The sequence below is a fragment of the Homo sapiens genome, chromosome 15 (assembly GCF_000001405.40).
Source record: "Homo sapiens chromosome 15, GRCh38.p14 Primary Assembly".
NCBI lineage: Eukaryota > Metazoa > Chordata > Mammalia > Primates > Hominidae > Homo > Homo sapiens.
The window spans coordinates 78,967,197-78,990,044 of record NC_000015.10 but is presented as its reverse complement, the minus strand read 5'-3'; the positions used below and the strand labels follow the sequence as shown (position 1 = coordinate 78,990,044).

Here is a 22,848-nt window from a genome sequence, read left to right as displayed (position 1 = left end):
CGGGCTGGTTGCCTCACCTCAGTCTCAGTCTCTTCTCCTATTAAGTGGGGCTGACCATGGAACAGTCATAGGAGGATTAACTGCGTGGTCATCTAAAGACATTCAGCCCAGCATTGGCTCGCTGTGAGCCCTCACCCAGAACTTGTGATTCCTAAGTGGGGGTTACTCCTCGGAGCAGGGTTTTTGCGGAGTCTGTGGCAAAGAGAACAGAAGGGAATGAAGGATTAGAAGGAAAGGAATGAAGACCTTGCTATGCTTCCTATTTTTAAACCTCATCTCAGTATTAGCAACAAGCAATATTTGGCTGGACAATGGCAGACAGCTTCCCTCTAATTCATACATTATCCAGAACCCTCGGAATCTCCTAAGGTTTTGGCTGTTTCAGCTACTCTGGCAATGATGTCCCACTCGCTGCCCCTCTTCTTGCCTTTCTTGTGGTAAGATGGTCTTTTGGGATAACACTAAAGAGAATGTTTAATTCTCTTTAATGTTAGGAGGCCACAGTGCTGAGCGAATGTTTAATTAAACATTCTCTTTAATGTTAGAAGGCCACAGTGCTGAGCGAATGTTTAATTAAACATTCTCTTTAATGTTAGGAGGCCACAGTGCTGGGCGAGACTAAGGCTCCTGAATCTCCCTGGCTAGGATCAGGATGGCCCAATATCCAGCTCCTCCAGCCCCCTTCTCTAGACCTCCCAGCCCCAGCTTTCCTGGGGAAGAACTGTTGAGATGGGACCAAGCACTGGACCTGCAAACTGGCCTGGCATAAGCAGCTCAAAGGGCCTGGACTGACTCTGATTGGCACACTAAGTTCAGATGGGTGCATCACACACCCCCAGCTCCCAGAATCCCTCCTCAGAGAAACATGGGAGCAGCAGAGAACTGGGGGGCAGACAGGTCCCAGAGCCTTCTGAGGCACAATTCACATCCACAGGGAGCATTTGCAATGTTCTTTAATAAGAATATCCACTGCCCCCTAACCGGGTGCCTACCTTGTGCCTAGCACTGAGCTTTTTGTGCATAGTAATCTCATTGAAAGCTCACATCAACTAAAAGATGGGGGCTGTCCTCACATTTTTAGGTACAAAGAAACCAAGACTCTGGAAGGGCAAATGCTGAGGTCTCCTAACTGGTGTGTGGTAGCTCATGGCTTCCATTGCTACACAGTGCAAATCAGCTGTGTGAGGAAAAAAAAAAAAAAAAAACTCCCTCCCAGCAACTTCCCCACATGTGTGCAAGTTCCAACCCCTGAACCACAGAGCCGGGTCCACTCCCAGCCTCGTGACAGCCCTGAGAACAGTTGCACTCAGCATCCTCATTCTTCTGAGTTTAATCATCAACACGAGGAAAGAGCCTTTGAGGGCCGGTGGTGGGAGCACATGATTCCACTTGCCCTGACCACCTTGGCCAGGGCCACATCCTACCAACCCCAGCCGCCAGCACACCATATCCTGGGAGGATCCTCAGCAGCCTAGAAGAAACAAGAAAGACCCAGAGATTGCAGCTCAGGGGAGGAGCCCTTTGGGGCCTCCTAGGCCTGGGCACCCAGTGGTTCCTGCAGTGAGCACAGCAGCAGAAAGGAGACTCGTGTGCCTCTCAGGAGAGAAAGAGGGACAGAGACCAAGCCTCGGGAAACATAACCTGACAGAGGCCTGATCCAACCACACCTTACAGCACCAGGCAACAAATCACTGTCCCCTCCCTTCCCTGTCCCACTGTGTGCCCAGGAGTCGAGCAAGTGAAAGACAAGAATATGAAGTGAGCATTCACTGAGTGTTCACCCCATGCTAGACGCTGTGCTTCAAAAGCATCATCTCATTTAATCCTGCCATGCCCACTTTGTGGATGAAGAAACTGAGGCTTGAGGAGGGGAAATTTCATCCCCAACATTACACAGCAGAGTACAATTTTGAACGCACACGGTCTACTTCAGAAGCTGCCCTTGTAACGACCTGGCATTTGGCCATCTCTGTTCAAATCCACCATTTGGTTCTGATACACAGGATGTGTGCTGGCACAACAATGATTTTCCTCGTCTCTCCCTGGCACAGTTCTATTTGCTGTTTTCTGGTCCTTTTGCCTTTAATTTCTTTGTCCTCTTAACTGGTACTGGCCAGGATCTTCAGGACCATGGCCAAGCTGGGGTACTGGTGTAAGGCAAGCAAGGTTCCCAGAGAGCAAAATCGAAGGAGCTACTCGCCCTTCTGCACTTGTACCCCACACCTCAACTGCCTCACCCTAGTCCCGTCTCTCTCCACAACAGCATGGAATGGACATGGTGATCATGTGTCTCCTTCTTGGGTTTTTTGTGGGGTTTTTTGGTTTTTTTTGTTTTGTTTTGTTTTGTTTAAGACACAGTCTCCCTCTGTCGCCCAGGCTGGAGTGCAGTAGTACAATCTCAGCTCACTGCAACCTCCACCTCCTGGGTTCAAGTGATTATCATGCCTCAGCCTCCTGAGTAGCTGGGATTACAGGTGCATGCCACTGCACCCAGGTAATTTTTGTATTTTTAGTAGAGACAGGGTTTCACCATGTTGCCCAGGCTGGTCTCAAACTCCGGACCTCAGGTGATCCACCCGCCTCAGCTCCCAAAGTACTGGAATTACAGGTGTGAGCCACTGCACTCGGCCACCTTCTTGGTTTTAAAGGAGATATTTCTAATATTTCCCCATGTGGAATGATGTTTGCTCCTTTACCAGGTTTTTTTTTTTAATTATCTTTTATTCCTTGGGTGCTAATGGATTTAACCATGAATAAATACAGAATTTTATCAAATATTTCTTTCTGCATCCATAGAGATGGTCATATGGTTTTTCTCCCTTGCTCTGTTGATATAGTAAATGACAATTATACTTTTTTTCTAATATTCAATCATCCTTGCATTCCAGGGACAAACCCAATGTGGTCATGGTATATTAAACAAATGGGTGTGTAATTTTCCTTTCTTATATTATCCATCTCTGGTCTCAGTATCAAGGTAATACTGGCTTCATAGAATAAACTGGAAGATATTCCTTTTATCCTTCTTCTCTGGAAGATTTGACTGATCTATTTCTTTCAAAAATTAGTATAACTTTTATATAAAATTCTTTTTAAGTTCCATGTTCTCTTGATGGAAAAAAATTTTAACTACTACTTCAATTTAATTAAGAGGTATAATACATGTACTACTTTGTGTTATTATCCTTCCTGATTCTCTTAAGTAGTAGTTCCATTCTTAAGTAGTTTTACAATTCATTTTTCTTGATGAGCATCCTTTAGAAATTGTTTTTGAGAAGATTTCTTAGCGATAAAGCCCTGTAATTTTTAATTCATCTGTAAATGTCCTTTTATCGCCTTTTTTAAAGTAGTAGTCTTTTTTTTAACTTTTTATTTTAAAATAATTAAACAGTCACAAAGGCCGGGCGCGGTGGCTCACACCTGTAATCCCAACACTTTGGGAGGTCAAGGCCGGCAGATCACTTGAGGTCAGGAGTTCGAGACCAGCGTGGCCAACATGGTAAAACCCCATCTCTACTAAAAATACAAAACTTAGTCAGGCATGGTGGTGTGTGCCTGTAATCCCAGCTACTTGGGAGGTTGTGGTAGGAGAATCGCTTGAACCCAGGAAGTGCAAGTTGAAGTGAGCCGAGATGACACCACTGCACTCCAACCTGGGCGACAGAACAAGACTCTGTCTCAAAAAAAAAAAAAGAGTCTTAGAAAGTTGCAAAAGAATGTACCAGAAAGCCCACTGCTTCCTGCTGTTTCAGCTCCTTGCAATTCTAATTCCCTGATGTTCTAGCCCCAGCTTCCCACCCCCATCCCCAGCTGCTCCAGATCCAACCTACATTTGATTTGTTCATGTGTGTGTCATGTTTGGCCAGGTGATGGAGTCCTTGAAGATATCTTCTACTGTGTATGTGAGACCAGCAGTGCTTCAAAGTGTGTCCTGTCCAAGCTCTAGTTGTATGATGGTAGATTCCCTCAGAATTTGGCACCTTTTAACTGTTTATTTTTCCAGATGAACTTTGGAATTACTTTGTCTATAATTACTTTTCTAGAGAAAGCTCTCGTTGGTATTTGGTTTTTTGTATGTTTGTTTGTTTTCAGATTTTTTTTTTTTTTTTTTTTTTTTTCTGAGATGGAGTCTCGCTCTGTCACCCAGGCTGGAGTGCAGCAGCGCAATCTTGGCTCACTGAAACATCCACCTCCTGGGTTCAAGTGATTTTCCTGCCTCAGTTTTTCAAGTAGCTGAGATTACAGGCATGCGCCATCACGCCCAGCTAATTTTTTTTGTGTGTGTATTTTTTGTAGAGACAGGGTTTCACCATGTTGGTCAGGCTGGTCTTGAACTCCTGACTTCAAATGATTCGCCTGCCTCGGCCTCCCAAAGTGCTGGGATTACAGGTGTGAGCCACCGCGCCTGGCCTGAGTGTTTTATTGGATTACATTAAACACATGTATTAGTTGTCAGAAAAATGACATATTTACATTCCCATTTGGGAATTTGATCTCTTTCTCTGTTATTCAAGCCTTTTATATCCTTTGGTGACCTGTTTTTTCCATCCTACATAGTTCTCATTAAGTTCCTAGGTATTTACAGATTCCCATTGTTATTTGGAAGGTTGTATTTTTGTTGTATTTTCTAATTGATTATTGCTAATGTATATATAAACTTTTCATTTTTGTATATTGAACCTTTAGCCAGCAACCCTAGCAAGCTCTGTTAGTTGTTCTCGTAGTTTTCCAATTCCTTCTTGTATTTTCAAGCAGGCAATCATATCTGCAAATAGTGACCATTTATCATCTTTGCAATACTTACTCCTCTTTTTCCCTGTCTTATTGCATCGGCTTAAAGATCAGTAACTTGATTGCTTCAGAAATCATCCGCAATGAGGACATCAACGCCAGGGTGAGCGCCATCGAGAAGTGGGTGGCCGTAGCTGACATATGCCGCTGCCTCCACAACTACAATGCCGTACTGGAGATCACCTCGTCCATGAACCGCAGTGCAATCTTCCGGCTCAAAAAGACGTGGCTCAAAGTCTCTAAGCAGGTGCGGGCAGGAGGCTGGCACCACTGCCTCCCTGGGGCTGGATTGGGGCTAGGGCAGGAAGACCCGTGGGCTGGCCACTGGGCATCCACAAGTGGGCAAAGTACTGGGCTGAGGTCTAACACTCCCAGGTAAAACAGAATAGCTTCCCCTATATCACCTGGGACCAGATAGCAGGCCCACAGATATGGCAGTGAGACCTGGACTGTAATCCCCACTTGAGTAATTAATACCTCAAAGTGGAAAGAATATGATGGTGATTATTGGTCCCAACATTTTTCTTCTGGAGTTGGGGCAAGAGTGGTGGCTTTATGGGGATCTGCAGGGCAGCTGAGACAGTGGTCAGATGACCCTTCCATCAGAGGACCCTTCCATCGGAGGACCCTTCCGTCAGAGGACACTTCCGTCAGATGATCCTGCAAGCCCCTTCCCAGGATTCTAATTTCACCTGCGCTTCTGGCCACAGAGAGTTAGCTGCTTCCTGGAACGTGTTGGCTAGTTGATCACCTTAAATGTGTGCTCAATCCCTCTTCACTCAGAACATGAACCTGAAAAGCCATAAACATAAAACATGAACATAAAACCATAAGATAGATTCTTCCTCAGGAATGAAGTTGCCTGCATTGGGGTCAGGAGGGACCAGCACTCCTTATAGGAGAGGACAATGAGGCACTTGGACCACTTCCTTGGTGCACTTGGTGGATGCCCCCACCCCAGCCTGCATGTGTGCAGGAGGCCAGACAAGCACCCCCAGTAGACAGGGCAAGCCCCCAAGCACAATCCCTTGGCAGCAGTGTCTGTCATCCTGACGCTGGGTGGGCTGTGTGGGACCCAGTGGCTCCAAGGGCCCTGTCTCATCTGGACCACTCTGGACTTGCATACTGTGTCCCCCTCATTGTTCTCTTTATCACCTGCTCCTCACTACCCTCCTCATGTCAATGGCAGGTCATGATTCCACCCACCAAGCAGACGACATGTCCATAATCCTCCCTACTTAGCAGCCAAACTCATCTGGGACATCTCTGCTACCCTTCCCTCACCTTCTGGTCACTCCAGCCCCTGATGACAGCAGGACTACAGAACATGCAGGGACACCCCATTACAACCCAGTGGGATTGGGCCTCTTGCTTCTTGGCACACAGAGATGCCAGGCTTAGGGCCAAGGACCGTGAAAGATGCTACTCTTGTTTGTGGGCTCCAGGAAAGAGCAGAGCTCAGGAGCACAGGAGCTCAGAGCTGCAGGCACATCTAGCCAAACATGGTACATGCTGTCATGAACTCGTGGAGGCAAGTGTTGAGCAAGGCTCTGCAAAACCTCCAAGTCACCCAACCTCGTTTGGCTTGTCAAGGTTCAGGCAGGGCCCTTGCCACAGTCTGGGGGCCCATTCCAAGTAAATCTCTCTCTCCTTCTCCCCTGTTCTTGGGAATGACATCATCTTTTCCAGAGGCCCTGCAGACCAGGCTTCAGTTTCCCACCCCACTTAGGCTTCCTGGAACCCACACTCCTTGCATTTCTTGGTCTTGCTCTCCTGCATTGCCCTCCTCATGGAGTTGGGAGGGAATGAGTTTGGCCATCCTGAAATCTTCTGTTCTCTACAGAGAGTGCAAATCAAGGACAGTCAGTGGTCAGGGCATGTGATTCAGCCTGTGTTCTAGGATGTCATTCTGGACCTAGGGTCAGCTGGCCTGGTCCAAAAATCAAAAATACCTTTGGCACCACATGAGATCTCCACCCTCTATGCAGTCTGGACCCAGCTGTCTTCTGCAGCCCCCAGCCGTGTAAGAGTTGTGTGTCTGCACAGCACCTGGCCCCAGGAGCTTCTGGAAGTTCCTGGCCATGGCCTGCTCGGCATCTGCCAGAGGCAGTTCATTCTCTCTCTACAGGCGTCCCATGGACACTGGAGACCCTCTAAAATGGCCACGTTTCTTAGATGGCCTGAACTGTAACCTCAGCAGCCAGTTTTTACTGCTCACTTAAATGTGCTCACCATAGCAGAAAAGCATTATGTCCAAGTCTGGTTCAGCCCCTGGCAAGCGTCAGGCAGTTGGATTTCATTTGGGACTTTTCATTTCCCCTTTCTTCTTTTAACCCCTCTCCCCATCCTCTTTGGGGAAAAAAAAAACCCAAGAGACGATCTGATGATGATACTCTTCCATACGACAGTACAATGACTAACGTGGATTTGTGTGTCGCCTCTCCTGGGGATCGCTGTACTTTAGTGGAGACAAAAGCCTCGCCTTGGCTAACAATCGATTTTGGCCTCTCTGGGAGGGAACATTCTTGTCCAGCCAGAAGTCCTCTGCTTGGTGAACAGGAAGTGATGGAATTTAGGAGACCACAAAATCATCTTTCTTCCTGACACTGACTCCAAGGGTCCTTGCTTGGTTCCTGCTTTCAATCCCATATTCCAAGGGCCCCCCATTTCTGCCTGCTGGTGTCCACACTCTAACAGAGACACCCAAGATCCCAGAGGCTTGGTATCCCATGGAGCATCACAGGATAGAAGCTCCTGGCCCAGCTAGAAGATGCTTGAACTGCTTCAACTTGGAACATACTTTTTAAGCAGCAGCTGAGAAAATTCTGTGGCTTCCCAGGCCATAGAGCTCCTTCCTGGAGACAGCATGACAACCCAAAGAGGAGCATCCATACACAGCAAGCACGGGGATGTGGAGGAAGTTAAAAACGTGCCCAGCCCAGAGCCACAAATTGGTTCCAGAATATCTTCTGCACATTTTCACAGCCTCAGAGTACGGTGACACTTCATCTAGAACTGCATGGCCACTGGGACCTCCTGATCAAGCTTCTGTGTCTTCCACAATTCTAGAGTATCTGAGCTAGTATTGCCTTAGGGAACACCTGGACTTACCCTCCCATTTTCCAGATGGGGACACTGAGGCCCATAAAGGCAAGAGGAGTGGTGATTTGCCAGTCGGCATGCCAGGGATAGGTGACAGAGGCTGGGGAGGCCCTAGGTTTCCTGACTCAGCCCCCGCCTCTGACCTCAAGCCGTATCAGGTCATTCCTCTGCAGGTGGATGGAGAAGAAAAGGAAGGAGGGTGCTGCTCTGGAAAGGGGCAAGTGCAGGAGGGAAGCTGAGACTCTGGAACGGAGGTGGGCCAGGGCATCCAGCCTTTGCCAGTCATCGGACAGCAGACATCTCAAGTGAAAGCAGAATCATCTGCCTTGACTCCGTGTGGTGTGTGCTATTCTGCTGCATGTCTCTTTCACCAGATCCAGAATACAGCTGTGCTCTGAACAGGATTAGTCCACACCAGGTGGCGAGGCTTTTTCTACTTGTTGATAAGGCATGGAACTGAATGGTACGCTCAGCCCTTCTTTCCCCTTGAAGAGCACACACAGATCTCTTCCTGTCAGAATGGAGACTTAGATTGTCCTTCTCAGTAGACAAATTTCTCAGCAGAAATCTGACCCCAAGATTGGGCGTGTGCTTGGCCTCCGGGGCCTGTGTCCCCTCCAGGCTGACTAGGGCTCTGGTGGCGTGACGTACCGCTGTGCTCCCGCGGTTTCTCAGCCACATTCTGAATCTTGAGGAACAGAGCTGCAAAGGAAGTCTCTAACCTATCTCACCATTTTATCAATGAGGGAGCTGAGGACCCCTGAGGGAAAGGGCCTTCCCTCGGGCTACACAGGGAAAGGTGCACAAAGCCAGGCTTGACCCGGGGTGCTCCATGGGTCAGACAAACTCCAGCCACCGAAACTCTGCTCCAGCCTGATGTGTGCGCTGGGCCTGGCGAGGTCGCTTGGCAAAGCCCTTTGCTGTGGAGCTTCCTCTTCTCCAGCCAGGCCTTTTCTTTTCTGATGATCAGTTCGTCTCCCATCTTTTTTCTTGATCCTTAAATTTGGGTGGCATTTCTGGTGTGAAAAGGGGAACGTGTGAAATGACGGTCACATCCTTTGGGTCTAGTTCATGAGAAAGATCAGGAAAATGAAAAATCTGCCATTTCCTGCTCTGAGCGCAGGCTCCTGGGAGTCACCCACTAAGTCCTTCTAAACTGCCCAGGTCTCGGGATCCTGCAGCATTTCCAAGGGCCAAATCCACACTCAGGTCCCTCACACCCACTTCCTTGCTTCTGAGAGATGTGGGAGCACAGGCACACTCAACAAGGACCCGTGCCCAACTCCTGAGGAGTTCAGGGGCAAGGTGCCCAAACACAGGAGGCCCCCAGATCCCAAGGGAAGGCAATTCTGGAGCCCTGTTGGGCAGCATGTTGGAGTGTGGGCCTGATCCCCGGGCCTCGGGGATCACAGCGTGTGCTGTGTGTTAGTAAATGCTTCTGCTTCCTTCTAGACTAAAGCTTTGATTGATAAGCTCCAAAAGCTTGTGTCATCTGAGGGCAGATTTAAGAATCTCAGAGAAGCTCTGAAAAAGTAAGTGTGTGTCGTTTTGTCGCTGTTATTTTTAAAATCATAGACCTGCATTGCAGAGGCATTCACGTGCCGCCCCCAGCCAGAGCAGGAGGTCTTTCTGTCTGTCTGTTCGTCTGTCTACCCACAAGACCCCTAGATTTCCTGGACCCCAATGGTGGAGTCCTCCATGGTCTGCCAGAGAAACTCCAGAGTTTGCTAGCATTTCCTGAGAGAAGCACAGGAATACTGCTGGGATCCCTGAAAGCATAGTAGCTGTGATGATAATAGTAGTGGTGCCAGATTTCTCGATTCTAAAATGCACGTTTTCTTTTCACATTTTAATAATTCTGACATCAGGAGACGTCTTAACGTCAGTTTTGTTTATTTAACACAATTGTGTTTCCTTTTTCACTCCAGAATTCATCATCAAAATGTTTGCATTTTATAAACAATGGCATCCGGGAATTAAAAAAATACAGTTTTACAATAATCATACTTAAAGTTTGTAAAGCACTTGCCTAGACATTGTGCGCTTAACGCCATCAACATTGCCCACACGGCGGGGTCCTCAGCCTCAGCACCCTTGCTGTTTTGACCAGGATGATCCTTTGTTGAGGGGGACTGTCCTGTGCATTGTAGAATCTTTAGCAGCATCTCTGGCCTCTACCTGTGAGATGCTAATGGCACCCCTCCAAGTTGTGACGACCAAAACTGTCTCCAGACATTGCCAAATGTCCACTAGGGGGCAAAATCCTCCCCACTTGACAACCATCAGGATAAGGCTGCTTCCCGCATCCTGTTCTTCCAGACAAAGAAACTGAAGAGCTAGTGTCTGGTCCAAGGCCACGTGGACGGTCCAAGGCCACATGGCCGTGGCCTAGCACCAGGACTGGCCCAGGCTGGCCTCCAGAGCTTGTCAAGGTTTGCCCTGGGCTCCAGACGAGCTCTCCCAGGGAAGCAGTGATTCAGCCCATCTGCACACACTGTGGCCACACACTCACATGAAGTGGGGGGTTTGCTTCTGTCACTCTCATTAGGTGCTTACTCAGGCTTCTGCACTAGTCTCAACCCTCCTTTCCTTGAGTGAGTGTTCCTTCCTCTCCTCGCCTGACTGGCTACTCGCCAGACCTTGGAGAGACCCTGGGAGATCCCTGGGGTCCCGGTTCCCTATATAGCTCAGGAAGCCTCTCCCCGCTTCCTGGTGTTCCCATGATCACGGCTGACGCAGGGAACACCAGAGTTTACTACCCCCAGACCCTGAGGATGGGGCCAGCCAAAACCTCCAGCCCTTGACAGTGGCTTTGACAGACTGCTCACCCCTCTGCCAGCCTCGTCTGCCTCCTCTTTGCGTTTTCTTCCTGCCGCATTTGGTCTGTCCTTTGCCAGCTCTGTGTGCCATCGCCTTGACCATCTCCACTTTGTTTGTGTCCTCAGACAGATGTTGCACCCATCTGTGCTGTCCAGCCGTCTCTCTTCTGCCTGGGCTCCCGAGAGCCCCTGTGGACTGTGCTTGTGGGGAGCTGCCCCCTCCGTGCATTCACCAACTTGTCCGTCCGTCCGCCCCCGGGGCACCACTCCATCCACCTCCTCACATGGCTGGCTTCCTCGTCTGCCGCCGCCACCACCGCTGCCTCCACTGCCTCTGGGGCCCCCCATTCTGTCTGAGTCCCCACCCTGACCGTCTTCCCTCTTTCAGGTGGCCTGTGGGCCCGTGTAAGTGTCTCTCCCACATTCCCCTGCTCCCTGCAGCACAGGGCAGAGGTGGCCTGCGGGCCTCTGGAAGCTAAGAGCTTTATGCAAACCAGGTTCTGGACTTGCAGAGACATAGGCAGGGCACACAGAGGAGGGAGGGACTGGGGAAACCTGGGGCAAATGCTTCCCGCACCCCCTCTCCTGAGGCTCTAAGGTTTTCACAAAGAGCGGTGTTGCATGAATACTGAGCGTCTGTTTCACTAGGCAGGGGACGGGGGCAAGAGTAGCGAGGTGGCAGTCCATGGGCATAGCCAATGACCTCCCCAGAGAAGGAGTCCTGCTATGGGCCTCACCATGTTGGTCTGCAGCCCATTCATACGTCCCAGGCATCTTTTTTTAGCTTTTCATTAAGATATCCAATTCGGGCTAGGCACAGTGGCTCATGCCTATAATCCCAGCACTTTAGGAGGCCGAGGTGGGCAGATCACTTGAGGTCAGGAGCTAGAAACCAACCTTGCCAACATGGCAAAACCCTGTCTCTACTGAAAATACAAAAATTAGCCAGGCGTGGTGGCACATGCCTATAATCCCAGCTACTTGGGAGGCTGAAGCACGAGAATCGCTTGAGCCCAGGAGGCAGAAGTTGCAGCGAGCTGAGATCGTGCCACTGCACTCCAGTCTAGGTGACAGAACAAGACTGTCTCAAAAAAAAAAAAAAAAAAAAAAAACAAAAGAAAAGAAAAAGAAAAAGAAGAAAAAATATCCAATTTCTGCCAGCATCCAGGCTGGAGAATGGCCTTATTGCATTTCCCAGCCGAGACTTCACCACCAAACACCCCACTAGCCACTCTCTTAAATGTCCCTTGCCCCACCTGCAACAGCCCTAACTATGTGTGCCCCTTCAGTCCCTGCCAGATGCCCTGAGAGTGGCCTCATCTCCCCTTCTCATTCCCCAAGCCTACATACTGGCAAAGTCCTATGCCTGTTCCCTCCTCCCAACCTCCCAGCAATCGGAACCTTCCCCCAGCTCCAGGCAACAAGAATTTGGTTGAAAACTGAATTTAGTAGCAAAATGTGGTCACCAGCATTTTTGGGGCCGATTCCAGTTTTGACTACCCTGTCTAATCTCAACCGAGCACACACTTGCATATCTGCACCTTTTGTGTTTAATTTGAATAGGAAGCCCTTGATTTAGAGGAACACGGGGGACAGGCTGTTATTGTAGGCTGCTGCAGTGAAAGCCTTTCCCCTTTGTTCCCCTGAATTAAGGATGGGAACAGCCATGGAGGAGCGTGTCAGCTAGCTGACTGCCAGGCCATCCCCTATACCCTTTAATCAGGGTGAGAATCAATTTATCTACATGGATGTCATGAGCCCAAAGGCTGAGCTCTAGAGTCTCAGGGGTTCCAGCAAAGCCAAGTATCTATCTCTATCTTTATTCTCTGCCTGTGACCACAGAGCAGCCTAGCAACCCAGTGGTAAAATGGGACTTTCCACCCCCACCCCATCGCAGTTTTGTTTTTCAAAGACTACTTACCTGATCACCCTGTACCTCGTGCCAGAACCTTGGACCCTGGCCCCAGGGGATTCAGCCCACACAGCCCAGCCTCAAGGGCCCTCATGCCCTCCCTGAATGCCCTTCCCCAGGCCTCAAGATGGGAGAGAGGAGATCCCCAACCACAGCCGGCAGAAACTTGTAAGAGAGAATAGCCCATCCCACAGCCAGGGCAGTACAGGGAAGAGAGAAGTTGGAGAGAAAGAGGAAGGGGAGGTGGACTCATTGCTTGTCTCGGGTTGGTTTCCTGGAGTTTGGTGTAGAGCATGGGCAGCTGCCTCTTGCCAGCAGCAGCTGGTCCCCCATAATCTCCCTTATTCCATTTAACATCATCAGGAGCGTCTTGGTGGAAAGAAACATCCAGTTTGGGGGCTCCAAACAACCACAGGCAAGGCCAGGTGTCACCAGCATGGGAGTGCGACAGCGAGGCCTTGCCCAGAAACCAGAAGCAGCTTTCAGGCTAGGGGTGGGACACTTTCCTCTCTGCTCCCTAAAATGCTAGCTGCAGGCCCGTGAGGGCTCTGCCAGAAGAGGAAGCCACCCCCGTATCAGCTCTGCTTGATAGGCCCTGCCAAGGGCAAGACTGGACCTCACCCGAGAGAGGCCAAAAGGCCAATATGGAAGGTTCAGGACTTGCCTGTTGTTGGGTGTCTTGCCTGCAGGAAGCCCCAACATGCTTCCCTTTTCATTCAGAGGCTCGGTGTGGCTCAGTCCCTATGCCGTGTGTCCCTGTGGGGCCCTCCAGCAGTCCTCTGTCCCAATCTGGCAACTCCATACATTTGCCCACATGGCTCTGGATTTCGGATGGGTGTGTGTGTGTGTGTGTGTGTGTGTTTGATTGAGTGTTCTCTTGTCCCCTCCTTCATGGCCCCTCACTATAGAGCAAGCTTGTCCAACCCGTGGCCTAAGGGCCGCATATGGCCCAGGATGGTTTTAAATGCAGCCCAACACAAATTGGTAAACTTTCTTAAAACATTAAGAGATTTTTTTGTGATTTTTTTCCAGCTTATTAGCTATCGTTAGTGTGTTAGTGTATTTTACGTGTGGCCCAAGACAATTCTTCTTCCAATGCGGCCAGGGAAGCGAAAAGATTGGCCACCCCTGCCATAGAGGTAGTAAATAGGGACAGAGGTTAGTACTGGGGCTGGGCGTGCTACTTGCAAGTGATTCGATTGCAAATCCACCACCTTCCCACAGCTGAACCATGACTCCCCATAAATACCAGGGGAAGTCGACCCTCAGTGATCAGAGGACCTCTGATCCTTTTCACTGATCTGGGTGGTCAGAAACCCCCAAAAGCCTTGAGAAACACTCTGAGTCCTTTGGTCATTTGCAGTCAGCTTGCAGTCACCAGGCCTCCCGTTCTCCCTTCCATCCTTAGAGCACTCCACGGCTACCTGGCTACTGTCACACATGCAGGGTGAAGGGGGAGAGCACCTCTCAGAACCCACCGGTCAGCACTGCCACAGCCTTACGACTCCAGAGTTACTTCTCAGATCTTTGGATTATTTCTCCATCAGACTCATAAGCCTGGGCTTCAGACTTGGAGTATGATAGAAAGGAAATGAAGAGCTGGCCGGGCACAGTGGCTCACACCTGTAATCTGAGCACTTTGGGAAGCTGAGGCGAGCAGATCACTTGAGCTTAGGAGTTCTAGACCAGCCTGGGCAACATGGCAAAAATACAAAATTTCTGTCCCTACCAAAAATACAAAAATTCGCTGGGTATGGTGGTGCATGCATGTAGTCCAGCTACTTAGGAGGCTGAGGCAGGAGGACCATTGGAGCCTGAGAAGTCAAGGCTGCAGTGAGCTGTGATTGTGCCACTGCACTCCAGTCTAGGTAACAGAGTGAGACCCTGCCTCAAAAAAAAAAAAAAGAAAAAGAAAGGAAGGAAATGAAGACCTGTGCATGTAATAATCATGGACTGGAAGGGATGGAAGGATGCAAAGCAGCCCCTCCAGTGGCTGGATGCTCCTTACTCTTTTCTTTTTTTTTTTAATCACAAAGCACAGTAAATATATATATTTGAAACTACAAGCCTGTATACAAATGCATATATGCATCACAGGAACAAAAATTCCACAAAACAATATATACCTTTATTTCATTTGATGAAGTCAGATATTTTCTTTTTCACTTGTTATTTTTATTTGTTTTCAATTAAATAGAGATGGGGTCTCACTATGTTGCTCAGGCTGGTCTTGAACCGTTGGACTCAAGTGATCCTCCCACCTCAACCTCTCAAATCCCACTGCCTGGGATTACAGGAGTGAGCCACCACTCGGCCCTTTTTCACTTTTTAAAAATTCTGGTCTACACCTTCTAAATTGATTTCAACACCCATGAAAGGGTCAGCCCTACATTTGGAAAAACACTTCTGTCTGCTGTGTCCCTAACGCCAGGCCTCTGCCTCCTTCACGACTTTGCCATACTGTGCCAACTGTATTTGTGTTTACCTAACAGCCTCTTTAAATTAATTCACTTTTTCCCAAAAAGAAATAAGAAGGAAATTTTGTATCATGGCAAATGGAAAACCAGCTTACTTGCTGTAAATACAAGAATGCCATTTAAAAATATATGGTAAAAACAAAATAATGTTTTTGAATTCTGGCCAAATACTGATGTTTGCCAACACTCTGATTCTGACACCTGTTGCTATTTGTCTAAAAAGAGAAAATGTGAAAGGAGGAGAATGGCAAGTATCAAAAGTGTCAAAGTCACACTATCACCAAATGAGGCGCTCTCCCTGAGCAGAAGGGAAAAAAGTAAAAATCCAATGTTTCTTACCACGTGAATTCATGTTATTTAATATCGTGCCTGTAAATCAGCTGTGAGACCACCTAAAACTGTCTTAGCTGCTATCATTGCTTTATACATGAGGAGCCTGAGGACCAGAGAGGGAAAGACCTGGCCTAGGGTCACACAGCAGGCAGGTGAGGGACAGGGGCCAGGTTTCTGCTCTTGCTCTATCATCCTCCCGGCCTCACCTTCCTCCAGGCTAGCAGGGTTGCCAGGTGGCCACAAAGAGACAAAGGTAAGATGGGCTGGGAATAAGGGTCACTGCACTGTGCTCGATGATGCCACCGCATCTGTGTGCTGAGCTGAGAGGAGGCGGCAGAGCACTGGGGAGGAGGCCCCAGAAGGAGCTAAAGGGAGCCCTGCCGGCACATAACGACCGCCGGGCTCCATCACAGGCTCCATCAACCCTTACCCAGCACCGAGCCAAGGGCACCAGAACACGCTGGGAAGGAACAGTAACAGGAGGCCCTGCTTTGGACCAAAAATCAGAGAGGCATGGCCCATCACTCCGGGGGCCCAGCTCCCAAAGATGCAGTCCCCCATGAGTCACCAACCATGGAAACTATCACCCAACCCCCTGCCCCAAAGCCACTTTCAGGAAAGTGATCTCAGAGAGCAAGGGTTTCCTGCCCTGGCACCCAAGCCCAGTGCTTAGGTGGGTGGGAGATGCCAGTGGAGACAGGAGAGGTCTCAGGGAGCAGAGACAAGGGTGTCAGATAGGGTGACTGGCAGGAGTTGGGGGGCTGGGGCTGCAGAGCCCTCCAGGAGGTGATTCGGGGGAGGATCCGGATGGGAGAGTCTCAGGGAGAGATAGGAAAGGTGAGTCCAGAGGGGCTGGTGACAGAGCCCAGGGACTGACTGGGACAGAAGGCAGAGAGGTAGGGGAGGACCTTCTGGCTCAGGGAGGAAAGAGACAATCTGAGATGCCCCAGTGGGTGTAAGAGGCCCCAGTCAGCACCATGTTGCCCCCACCACCCCAGAGGACTGGCCCTGAGACCCAGCCGACAGTCCTGGGCGTGTAGAATAGTCAGTTCTAGAGTGTAGTGTGATTCTTGGTGACTGCAAGTCCCTTTGCCTCTAGCAAAGCAAAAGGTGCATGCGGGATGTTCTGTTCTTGGTAGACGTTACTTTTTTAAAATGAAAAACTTGTGTTAATGCCGTTTGCTTCCAAGTTGTGACCCACCCTGTGTCCCTTACCTGGGGATGTACCTCACCGACCTGGCCTTCATCGAGGAGGGGACGCCCAATTACACGGAAGACGGCCTGGTCAACTTCTCCAAGATGAGGATGGTGCGTTCCCCCCAGCCAGGCAGGGGAAGGGGGGCGTTGAAGCCCAGATGACTCAACCTGGGGCCCACCCACACTCTGCCCCCCAAGGCCCAACCTGCTGCATAGGGTGCCCCCATTTGGGAGCCTGGGTCCAGCTTCCCCAATGACAGCCATCACTATCATTGATGAGCAGTTAGAATCTGGCAGGCCCTGAGCCATGCTTTCACCGGCATTTCCTCCTCTAGTCCTGACAGTCTGAGAGGTAGCTGCTCTTCTTATTCTGCACCTTTCAGATGAGCAGACTGAGGCTGAGTGAGGTCAAGTGAGCAGCCCAAGGTCACCCCACAAGTAAAGGGCAGAGCCAGGTCTGGAGCCCGGGTCCAGGTGACTCCAAAGCCCCACACTGTCATTCACACCCATCCGTATTGTTCGTATCGACACTTGCTTGATGTGGACAAAGTAAAACCACTTACACAGCACCTCCTAAAAGAGTAAGTTTCCAGTTTTCCCAGAAAAATCTAGAACTTGGGATAAGGGCTGAGGAGACTTCTCCCATTAGGAACAGGATTCTAACCGTCTCCTTCTCCCCTCTCACTTCGCCAGAAAGCCTCTACTTGCACCAGTTTTATATAATGGGCCTTGACATTAGATTTTTGTTGGATGGAAAGGGTTTTTTCAGGCACCATCCTGAAGAGCGAAAGCTGCTTTTCATCGTGTCTTGTGCACAGCAGGCGCTAAGGAAGTGGCTGATGCCTTTAACTTTTGCTGGAGTCGTGGGGTTTTGTTCTAGTGATGTTAGGTAGCTTATGCCACTAATTAAAGGAGATTTTTTTTCTTCTCTCAGTCACATAGTGTAATTTACCTATAGAGTCTTGACAAGTCTTGGAAGCAGATTTCTGTTTAAAAAAAAAAAAAGAAAAAAAACATGAGGCCGGGTGTGGTCGCTCACACCTATAATCCCAGCACTTTGGGAGCTGAGGCGGGTGGATCACTTGAGGTCAGAAGTTCAAGACCAGCCTGGTCAACATGGTGAAACCCCATCTCTACTAAAAATACAAAAATTAGCCGGGCGTGGTGGCATGCACTTGTAATCCCACCTACTCAGGAGGCTGAGGCAGGAGGATCACTTGAACCCAGGAGACAGAGGTTGCACTGAGCCGAGATCACGCCACTGCACTCCAGCCTGGGCGACAGAGTGAGACTCCATCTCAAAAAATAAAAATAAAAACAAACACACATGATGCCTCCGTGGGACCTTCCAGGAGGCAACATGTATGGAATTAAGAGGCTGACTTCAGATTTAGTTGTTGATGCCCCTTCAGCTCTGCAAAGTTGGGGGTGGAACTAGGAGAGCAAACTGCATTCTGAAACACTCCTTCCTTCCCACAGATATCCCATATTATCCGAGAGATTCGCCAGTTTCAACAAACTGCCTACAAAATAGAGCACCAAGCAAAGGTAAGCTGTGCCTTTTCCTGGTCACTTGCATGCTTTCACAGTGGCTCTGTCTAGGCCACCTTCCACCCTGTCCCCTCCATACCCGTCCACTTTCCCTTCCAGAATTCTCTCGAGCCCAGCTCAAATGCCATCCCTGTAAGGAAGGCTTCCCTAGTCCCTATTTCTTCAAATTGGGCCTGTGTTCATCTTGTGACTCTTGTCTGATTTTACCTGCCATAGGATGGTTTATATTCATGTCTAATCTCCCCCAGGGCAAGACAGGCAGAGTTGATAACATCTGTTTCTGAAAGGTACTATGCTTACAAGTTACAAAATCCACAGATATAAGGAGTGCACAGTGAAATGTCCCCCAGCCACCTAGTTCCCCTTCCAAAGGCAACATTTCCGCCCGTTTCTTGTGTCTAGGTCCACAGGCAATCCATAAACACAAGCCAACTTTGCATACCATTCTCTAGCATACTATACACTGCTCAGTATCATTCCTTTTTTTCCTTCATAATATATCTTGGAGATCATTCCTATTAAAATAGAAGCATCCTTATTCTTTCTTACAGCTGCAGAGAAATCTATTTAGCCAATCCTCTGTATTGATGAACATTTAGGTTGTTTTGATCTTTTGCTGCTACAGACAAGGCACAAAGAAATACTTTGTACATCCAGAAACAGGCAGGGAGGGCCATAGGGTATGGATCCCAGGGTCTGTGCTGCTCTGAGGGCCTAGAGAGCCTTACTGGAGTAGGAGAATCCTGGAAGAGTTTTCCTGGTCGGGGTAGACATGTCTTTCTTGCAGAGAGACAGGCTTGTGTAATGCTAAGTACAGTGACCCCCTCCACCACCACCACCAAATGGCTGGCTGCAGAGAGTAGCATCAGGCCTGCCAGAAACAGATGGAACTGGTGGGATCCTAAAAGGATCAGGGACTTTGTCCGTAGGACCATAGGAAGCCCTGAAAGGAGGTTATATAATTGGACTAGTTTGCATTTTTAAAAGATTTGCAAGGCCATGTAAGAGAATGGTTGGTCTGAAAAAAAAAAAAAAAAGTCTCAGCTAGCCAAAAAGAAAAAAAAATTGTTTAATAAAAAAGAATGGTTGGCATGTTAGTCTCATTACATTATTCAAAGCCTGTACTGTAGGCCCCATTTTACAGATAAAATAACAGATTTGCTAACCCAGACTCTTGGGCTCCCAATCCTATGACTTTTCTTTTCTTTTTCTTTTTCTTTTTTTTTTTTTTTTTTTTTTTTGAGACAGAGTCTCACTCTGTCACCAGGCTGGACTGCAGTGGTACAATCTTGGCTCGCTGCAACCTCCACCTCCCGGGTTCAATCAATTCTTCTGTCTCAGCCTCCCGCATAGCTGGGATCAGGGACTTTGTCCTTAGGACCATGGGAAGCCCTGAAAGGAGGTTATGTAATTGGACTAGTTTGCATTTTTGAAAGATTGCAAGGCCATGTAAGAGAATGGCTGGTCTGGCACGCCACTATGCCCCAATAATTTTTGTATTTTTAGTAGAGACGGAGTTTCACCATATTGGTCAGGCTGGTCTCAGACTCCTGACCTCAGGTGATCCACTCACCTCAGCCTCCCAAAGTGTTGAGATTACAGGCATGAACCACCACGCCCAGCCTCCAATCCTATGACCTTTCTTCCCTGCCCAGAGATACAGCATCTTAACCTCCTAGTGTGCAGTTCACAAAAACATCCAGCTCCAGACACACCCTCAAGCACACCGGAAAATCAAGCTTTTATTGTTTTTCCCTTCTAATGTCCTTTGTGATCAATGTGTTTTTTGAGAATGTGTCAATTTTTTGCCATATTCTGAGAACTCATGATCTGCTTTATAGCTGATAGCCGTATCGAAGGAGAAAAATCAGTGGACTAACTACAATTAGTTAAACTGGCCACTTTTGCTTTGCTTTCCATTCATTCTCTCACTCCACAAATATTCATTGAGCAAGTCCTACATGCCAAGCACTATAGTAGGCTCTTGGCTCAGCAGTGAACAAAACAGATAAACTCTTGGCCCTCACGAGCTTGTGTTCTAGAGGGAAATAGACTAAGAGGCAAAAAATATAATATGACAGATGATTATTACAACCATGGAAGAAATGAAGCAGGGGAGAGGAATGGGAGGTTGGGAAAGGAATAGGGGGCCATAGAATCCTAGAATTTTCTTTTCTTTTCTTTTCTTTTTTTTAAGACAGAGTCTTACTCTGTCACCCAGGCTGGAGTGCAATGGCGCGATCTCAGTTCACTGCAACCTCTGCCTCCCGGGTTCAAGCAATTCTCCTGCCTCAGCCTCCTGAGTAGCTGGGACTACAGGTGTGAGCCACCACGCCCGGCTAATTTTTGTACGTTTAGTAGAGACGGGGTTTCACCACGTTGGTCAGGCTGGTCTCAAACTCCTGACCTCGTGATCCACCCGCCTCAGCCTCCCAAAGTGCTGGGATTACAGGCATGACCTAGGATTTTCAATGTTGGACAAAACAGAAATAAAGGGCATCATGAGCCACAACATCACCTATATTATGCATCCAAGTGTTTGAATCTAATCAGGAGGAACCAACAGACAATTTCAGAATATGGGACATTCTGCGAGACAACTGCTCTGTAACTCAGTGGTGTGCTAGTAAATGTTAAACTGGTCTTGGGGGTAGAGGATTGAGTCTTGATGTGTAGCATTTGCTGTTGAAGAGAAAAATGATTGGAACGCTTGTTAAAAATGGTAACATTGGAACATTTGTTTAAAATAGTAGGTTTATTCAAACCTGATGCAATAGAGGCCAAGACTGTTTCTTGGGGGAGAGAGATTGAACTCAACTGCAAATACAACAGGGACAGGTGGGGATTTGTAGTCAATGGGCCAAGAAAGGGGGTCAGTGGATGGAAAATTACTAAGAGGAGATAGCAAGAGTAGGGGAATTCTTGCTAAACCGGCCTAACAGGTTTTTATTAAAGTCCGGCCAAAGACTTCGGGTATCAGGGGTGGAGAATGAAGAATTTGAGCAGATATCAAGGTGGGGGGATTCTTGCTAAAGGCAAGCCAAATTTGAAGCCTAGGCATGAAGAGAACTCAGAGGAGCCTGTTAGGTGATGCCAGCAGGGCCACTTTCAAACCACCACCTGGACATCACTGAAAGCAGAGTTGGGAACAGAGGCTAAAAATTGGCACATGCAGGCTGGCATGAGCCAGCTCCAACACACTACTGCATATAGTCTTCAAAAATATCAATGTCTTTTAGCAATAAAATATTTTCAATTAAAAATATATATATATATATCAGCTGGGAGTAGTGGCTCATGCCTGTAAATCCCAGCACTTCAGGAGACTGAGGTAGGAGGATCACTTGAGCCTAGGAGTTTGAAGTGAGCCTGGGCAACATAGGGAGATCAGAGATCCTATCTCTAGCAAAAATCATAATAATAATTAGCTGGGCATGGTGGTGCACGCCTGTAGTCACATCTACTCAGGAGTCTGAGGCAGGCGGATCACTTGAGCCCAGGAGTTCAAGGCTGTAGTAAGCTATCATTGCACCACTGCACACTAGCCTGGGCAGCAGAGTGAGGCTTTGTGTCTAAAAATAAAACACACACACACACACACACACACACACATCAGTGTCATGAAAAATAAAAAAGACTAAAACACACAGGCTGGGCTCAGTGGTGAGCTTTTAATCCTAGCACTGTGAGAGGCAGAGGGAGGAGGCTACTTGAGTTCAGGAGTTCAAGATCAGCAACATAGTGAGACCCTGTCTCTATAATGAAAAAAAATTTTTTCAAAAAAAAATAATAAAATAAGACTAAATCATATGACATCTAAATGCAATGTGTGAATGTCGGTTAGATCTGGGATTTTAAAAAACAGCTATAAAGATTATTTTATTCATTAAAACTTGAAGAAATTTGAATCTGGTCTGTACATCAGCTAATTTTATTTTATTGATATTAAATGTCCTAGGTATAATGATGTTATGGTTATGTAAGAGAATGTCTGTATTCTTAGGAGATGCATGGCTGAAGTATTCAGTGGGGGAAACACTACACTATTTACCTTCAAATGGTTCAGCCCTCAGAAAAAGGATTATACGTATATGTTGTATGCATAGTTTTTATATTTTTTAAATAAAAAGTTGGCCGGAAAACAGACAACAGTAAAAGCATTAACCATGGAAAAACAGATATAAATACTGGAAGAAATATGTAAAACAGGACTATCCACTAGAAATATAATGCAAGCTACATATGTAACTTTAAGTATCCTACAGGGTCACATTTTTTAACTTATTTTTATTTATTTATTTATTTTAGTTTTTTGAAACAGGATCTCACCCTGTCACCCAGGCTGGAGTGCTATAGTGTGATCTTGGCTCACTGTAGCCTCGACCTCATGAGGTTCAAGCGATCCTCCTACCTCACCCTCCTGAATAGCTGGGACTGCAGGTGTTCACCATTACACCCAACTAATTCTTTTATATTTTTTGTAGAAACAGGGTTTTGCCATGTTGTCCAGCCTGGTCTCGAACTCCTGGCCTCAAGTGATCTGCCTGCCTCGGCCTCCCAAAGTGCTGGGATTACAGGAATGAGCCACTGCACCTGGCCTGTTTTTTTGTTTGTTTGTTTGAGGCAGGGTCTCACTCTGTCACCCAGGCTCAAATGCAGTGACACA

The 22,848-nt window shown here is 48.0% G+C and overlaps 1 protein-coding gene and 1 long non-coding RNA gene across 10 annotated transcripts in view, besides 3 other annotated features; one reads left to right on the top strand and one right to left on the bottom strand.

The window, feature by feature from the left end:
• The window catches only part of RASGRF1 (Ras protein specific guanine nucleotide releasing factor 1), a 130,875-nt gene that overhangs the window by 100,736 nt on the left and 7,291 nt on the right, over window positions 1-22,848 (top strand). For 6 of the 9 annotated variants that reach the window (NM_001145648.3, XM_017022456.3, XM_017022455.3 and 3 more), the window contains 4 exons: window positions 4,841-5,038; window positions 9,346-9,425; window positions 16,625-16,742; window positions 18,111-18,179. In NM_001145648.3, the coding sequence (NP_001139120.1) occupies window positions 4,841-5,038; window positions 9,346-9,425; window positions 16,625-16,742; window positions 18,111-18,179 (465 nt within the window). Of the gene's footprint in view, window positions 1-4,840; window positions 5,039-9,345; window positions 9,426-10,838; window positions 15,443-16,624; window positions 16,743-18,110; window positions 18,180-22,848 lie in introns of those variants that run through there. The other 3 variants (XM_017022458.3, XM_017022457.3, XM_011521866.4) reach the window with 1 other exon arrangement.
• On the bottom strand, window positions 4,119-11,156 carry LOC100129540 (uncharacterized). Its single transcript, NR_148998.1, has 2 exons — window positions 10,722-11,156; window positions 4,119-5,583 (listed from the first exon to the last, which is right to left on the bottom strand). It is a non-coding gene; the product is annotated as an uncharacterized LOC100129540 (long non-coding RNA).
• Window positions 12,784-12,873: an enhancer, noted in NCBI's record as "active region_9930". NCBI's record gives its function as "activates an Ori minimal core promoter by ATAC-STARR-seq in GM12878 lymphoblastoid cells {active_cell/tissue: GM12878}" and the evidence as "EXISTENCE:reporter gene assay evidence [ECO:0000049][PMID:35858748]".
• Window positions 12,944-13,053: an enhancer, noted in NCBI's record as "active region_9929". NCBI's record gives its function as "activates an Ori minimal core promoter by ATAC-STARR-seq in GM12878 lymphoblastoid cells {active_cell/tissue: GM12878}" and the evidence as "EXISTENCE:reporter gene assay evidence [ECO:0000049][PMID:35858748]".
• Window positions 13,124-13,273: an enhancer, noted in NCBI's record as "active region_9928". NCBI's record gives its function as "activates an Ori minimal core promoter by ATAC-STARR-seq in GM12878 lymphoblastoid cells {active_cell/tissue: GM12878}" and the evidence as "EXISTENCE:reporter gene assay evidence [ECO:0000049][PMID:35858748]".